This window comes from Homo sapiens, chromosome 17 (genome assembly GCF_000001405.40).
Source record: "Homo sapiens chromosome 17, GRCh38.p14 Primary Assembly".
NCBI lineage: Eukaryota > Metazoa > Chordata > Mammalia > Primates > Hominidae > Homo > Homo sapiens.
Window position 1 is genome coordinate 15,970,722 of NC_000017.11, and position 5,838 is coordinate 15,976,559.

Sequence of the window (5,838 nt, forward strand, 5' to 3'; positions counted from 1 at the left end):
AACCAGAATATGGAGCTGTGATGGTTCTAGGGTTAGTCAGGTGGTTCAAAGGTGTCATCAAGGACCCAGGCTCTACTATTGTCTTCTGCTTTGCCATCAGCTTTGTCTCCAGGCTTGTCCCTTATGGTCACAGTGTGGCTGCTACAGCTGAGGGCATCACACCCTTCCACAAGAGCATCAAAAGCAGAAAAGGATGGTCATGGGGCAGAGCTGTCCTTATGGGTCCCTCTCTCTTCATCAGGGAGTAAAATCTTTCCTGGAGGTCCCTAGCAGATGTCCTTGTATGTCTCACTGGCCAGAACCACTTCATGTATCCACTAGACCAATCATGAGAATGGAAGTGCCATAATTTCCTTATCCCAAACATAAATTCATCCCCCAGAGCTGACCTGTTACCCGCTGTACTCGATACAGCTTAGTCCTGTGAACAAAGGAGGAGTAAGGGCAGGCTGCTGCATGGGCTGCCTCATGGACCTGAAGTTCTGTGATTCTTAGGACTCCGCCTTTGGGAGGCTTCCTTGTTATGCTGCAGGGACTAATTGTGTTATTCACATCTCCAGTGAGGCAATGGCAGAGAACAACTGTTTTTAAGGAAGGCTTTACATTCCTGAATGAGGTGGGAAACAGATGAATTCACTGGCCAAGACAAATTCAGTGAAAAAACTGAGCCCAGCAGGTCTTCTGTAGTATAGGGGCCCATGATTGAGCTGCCTGTTGCTAAGAGGGAGTAGAAAAGATTAGAGATCATTGTAAATTATGAGGCAAGACCTCAGCTAACTTCCTCAGCAAACGACTGGTTCTTCTGCCTGTTCAGGCTGCAACCTCAAGTATTCCTAGTAAGTAGAATCTTTCTTTAAAGCTGCCTAATAAAGTCAGATAATAAATGATGAATGTATTTGTAATGGCCATTTTTTTTTTTTTTTTTTGAGATGGAATCTCACTCTGTCGCCCAGGTTGGAGTGCAATGGTGTAATGATCTCGGCTCACTGCATCCTCTGCCTCCCAGGTTCAGGCAATTCTCCTGTCTCAGCCACCTGAGTAGCTGGGATTACAGGTGCCCACCACCATGCCTAGCTAATTTTCGTATTTTTAGGAGAGACGGGGTTTCACCGTGTTGGCCAGGCTGGTCTCAAATGCCTGACCTCAAGTGATCCGCCTGCCTCGGCCTCCTGAAGTACTGGGATTATAGGCATGAGCCACCATGCCTGGCCTGTGATGGCCATATTAAGAACATACTATGTGCTGGGAACTGTGCTAGGTCTTCGGGATACCAATACAAAGGGACAAGGTCCTAGTCCTTAAGAGGCTGACATTCCAGTTGAGGGATACCACAGGTATCAGATAAGCCAGCTCTATGACAAGTGAGTTATGGGGCAGGAGAATGGGAGTGGCCACCTCTACCTAAGAGGTGAGCAAGAAAGGAAGTGACCTTTTAAGAGCAACAGATGCTTTGTCTGATGTTGAGAATAGCATGAGCCAGAGGGAGCCATTGGTTAAGAATGGCAGGCACTGGACGTGTGGAGCCGAGGCTGGGGGGTTCTGCGGCCATGCTGGGAAGTATACGTCTTACACTGCAGGTAAAGCAAACAAACACTTCCCATGGGCAAGTCTTCAGGTAATGTCAATCAAATTATTTCCCAGTTTTCTCTTCCAGAGATTACAGAAGGATTTTATTTCATTTACTTAATACATTACATTGATTATGTTCATTTATACATTACATATGTATTATGGACCAGTTGTTAATAACAAAATGTGTACCTTTGCTATAAACCATGGATAGACTAGTGTATAGCAAAATGTCTAAAAGGGATATTATGGCATCTGTTGCTCTTATAAGGTCACTTCCTTTCTTGGTCACCTCTTAGGCAGAGGTGGCCGCTCCCATTCTCTTGCCCCATAACTCACTTGTCATAGAGCCTGCTTATCTGATACATGTTGTATCTCTCAACTGGATACTGGTCAAACCTCTTAAGGACTAGGATCTTGTCCCTTTGTATTGGTATCCCCAGTAGTGGTTTCTAGTATTTTTTTGTTGTTTGTTTTTTTGAGATAAGGTCTTGCTCTGTCACCCAGGCTGGAGTGCAGTGGTGCAATCACAGCTCACTGCAGCCTCAACCTCCTGGGCTCAAGTGATCCTGACTCTCCCACTTCATTCTCCCGAAATAGCTGGAACCACAGATATACACCACCGTGCCCGGCTAAGTTTTGTACTTTTTTGTAGAGATGGAGTTTCACCATGTTGCCCAGGCTGGTCTCCAACTTGTGATCTAATGGCTTGAAGATGACCAAAAAATTTAATATTTGCTATTTCCCAATTTTTATCAACTCTGCTGCTAGTATTTCTCAGTAGACAGGGGCACTGCTAGACTCTTGTTCTCCAGCAGTCTGCAGAGGTATTCAGAAATGATTCTGCCCATAGTCCTAGGCAAATGTCTTGTGGTGTTTGTGGGAAGCCAGAAAGATCCTTGCCTGGAGCCACAGGTGGTGCTGACTCCAGTGCTTACTGCCTCAGGCCTTTGTTCAAGTGTCACCTTATCCATGATGTCAGCCTCTTTAAAACTACAGTCCTGCCCATCCTGATCTTTCTTACTCTGCTTTTTCATGTTTCATACCACATATATCTCCATACTGTTTATTATTATGTTTACCCCTGCTAGATCTGAGTCTGTTAAAATTTAGTAGGGATCTCTGTGTGTTCTGTTCACTGATGTATCTCAAGCACTTAGAACAGGGTTCCTCAACCCCTGGGCTGCAGACTAGTACTGGTCCGTGGCCTGTTAGGAACTGGGCCACACAGCAGAAGGTGAGCAGGCAGGCGAGCATTACTGCCTGAGCTCTGCATCCTGTCAGATCAGCAGCATTCGATTCTCATAGGAGCTAACCCTATTGTGAACTGTGCACGCAGGGGATCTACGCTGTGCGCTCCTTATGAGAATCTAATGCATCACCCCCCGCCCCTGGTCTGTGGAAACATTGTCTTCCATGAAGCTGGTCCCTGGTGCCAGAAAGGTTGGGGACCACTGACCTAGAACAATGCCTTACAGAAGACCTAGACTCAAAGAGCGGTACCTAGGTAGGTAGGAAGTATAGGAAGTCGATCGGTTTTTGGAAACTGTGACTTGAAGCAAAATGATGCACTGTATAACAAAGCCAATTTTACCACAGTTGATACTGTTAAAAGAAAAACTTCGGCTGAATTCAATTTAAAAGAGCTTAATTGAGCAAAGAATGATTCACAAATTGTGCAGCCTGCTGAGCCAAAGCAGGCTCAGAGACTCCAGTGCAGTCACGTGGTGGAAGATAATTTATGGACAGAAAAAAGAAAGTGATGGACAGAAAAAGGAAAAGTGACGTACAGAAAATGGAAGTGAGGAACAGAAACAGCTGGATTGGTTATAGCTCAGCATTTGCCCTTTTTGAACAGGGTTCGAACAGTTGGCCACATTTGATTGGCCAAAAGTCGAGGATTGGCATGAGTGCAGGCTATAGTCTGTTTACACGTCCACTTGTTGTAGTCCACGATGTACAGAGAAACCTTTAGGCCAAATTTAAAATATGTAAGGAGGCAGCTTTAGGCTAAACTTGATTTAACAATATAAACAAGAGTTAACTTCCTATGACATATACTTCAAGTCACAGTTTGAGAACCCACCGAGGACATTGAGGACTTACAGTACTCCCTTAAGGCTTCCCCACCTCTTGTCATTGGCCATCCTGTGTCACTAAACAGAAAGGAGTTGCTAAGTCAAGAATGAAGATCTTACTGAGTTTTCTAGAGCAAAGCTGCTCATCCCTGCTTGCATGTCTTTAGTATTGAGGGTAAAGGCCTTAGTGCCCTGGAAGGTGAACTTTAGAGGTTGTTAAAGGGTCATGGAAAAAAGAGGAGGTGGGGTCTTGGATTGTGGTTGCAGAGCGCTATAAACTGACCGTAACAGATGGTATTCTTTTAAACAGGTATAAAAGTTTGGTCACGGGGACCCGAGCAAGAGGGGTCATTGCTGTCCTCTGGGTCCTTGCCTTTGGCATCGGATTGACTCCATTCCTGGGGTGGAACAGTAAAGACAGTGCCACCAACAACTGCACAGAACCCTGGGATGGAACCACGAATGAAAGCTGCTGCCTTGTGAAGTGTCTCTTTGAGAATGTGGTCCCCATGAGCTACATGGTATATTTCAATTTCTTTGGGTGTGTTCTGCCCCCACTGCTTATAATGCTGGTGATCTACATTAAGATCTTCCTGGTGGCCTGCAGGCAGCTTCAGCGCACTGAGCTGATGGACCACTCGAGGACCACCCTCCAGCGGGAGATCCATGCAGCCAAGTCACTGGCCATGATTGTGGGGATTTTTGCCCTGTGCTGGTTACCTGTGCATGCTGTTAACTGTGTCACTCTTTTCCAGCCAGCTCAGGGTAAAAATAAGCCCAAGTGGGCAATGAATATGGCCATTCTTCTGTCACATGCCAATTCAGTTGTCAATCCCATTGTCTATGCTTACCGGAACCGAGACTTCCGCTACACTTTTCACAAAATTATCTCCAGGTATCTTCTCTGCCAAGCAGATGTCAAGAGTGGGAATGGTCAGGCTGGGGTACAGCCTGCTCTCGGTGTGGGCCTATGATCTAGGCTCTCGCCTCTTCCAGGAGAAGATACAAATCCACAAGAAACAAAGAGGACACGGCTGGTTTTCATTGTGAAAGATAGCTACACCTCACAAGGAAATGGACTGCCTCTCTTGAGCACTTCCCTGGAGCTACCACGTATCTAGCTAATATGTATGTGTCAGTAGTAGGCTCCAAGGATTGACAAATATATTTATGATCTATTCAGCTGCTTTTACTGTGTGGATTATGCCAACAGCTTGAATGGATTCTAACAGACTCTTTTGTTTTTAAAAGTCTGCCTTGTTTATGGTGGAAAATTACTGAAACTATTTTACTGTGAAACAGTGTGAACTATTATAATGCAAATACTTTTTAACTTAGAGGCAATGGAAAAATAAAAGTTGACTGTACTAAAAATGTATACTTGTTGCCAGGAAGGTGACCTCAAAAATTAAAAGTATAATTATTCGGCCGGGCATGGTGGCTCACACCTGTAATTCCAGCACTTTGGGAGGCCAAGGCAGGCGGATCACGAGGTCAGGAGTTCAAAACCAGCCTGTCCAATATAGTGAAACCCCGTCCCTACTAAAAAATACAAAAATTAGCTGGGTATGTGGCATGTGCCAGCTACTCAGGAGACTGAGGCAGGAGAATCATGTGAACTTGGGAGGCGGAGGCTGCAGTGAGCCCAGATGGCATCACTGTACTCCAGCCTGGGTGACAGAGTGAGACTCTGTCTCAGAAAAAAAAAAAAAAAAAAAAAAAAAAAAAAAATATATATATATATATATATATATATATATATATATATATATAAATAAAGTATTCAATCAAGAAACTGCTGTATTAATTTAGGGAAATGATTGATTGATAGTCTCATAAGTCAAATTTTCATCACATAATTTTAAGCTCCATTCTTTTCCATATACAGAAAACTACCCGTGGGGAAGAAACTGGTGAAATGGGATCCCTCCTCTACCAAATTCTGCCTTCTAGAGCTAGATAGATAGATAGGGAATTTTGCTTCTCTCCAAATTTCAAGTTTGGTTAAGTTCTTGGAACTCAAAGTGTGAAAATTTTATGAAGTAAAATTATTTAACTCTGTGTATATTAGGTTAAATAAAAATAAAACTTAAAAAGACAAGCTTAGGGTGCTGCATTGGCTTGTTGCATCTACCTTCTAAACTTTACCCTGAAGGCTGCTGGAAAAAAAGTAAGTTATGCTGAGTCCAAG

The 5,838-nt window shown here is 44.0% G+C and overlaps 1 protein-coding gene across 5 annotated transcripts in view; it reads left to right on the forward strand.

Annotated features, from left to right (window-relative positions):
* The window catches only part of ADORA2B (adenosine A2b receptor), a 125,385-nt gene extending 120,360 nt beyond the window's left edge, over nucleotides 1-5,025 (forward strand). For all 5 annotated transcript variants that reach the window (XM_047435373.1, XM_047435374.1, XM_011523659.4 and 2 more), the window contains one exon: nucleotides 3,958-5,025. In XM_047435373.1, the coding sequence (XP_047291329.1) occupies nucleotides 3,958-4,621 (664 nt within the window). In that variant the 3' untranslated portion in view covers nucleotides 4,622-5,025. The remainder of the gene's footprint in view (nucleotides 1-3,957) is intronic.
* Nucleotides 5,026-5,838: the final 813 nt, after the last annotated feature.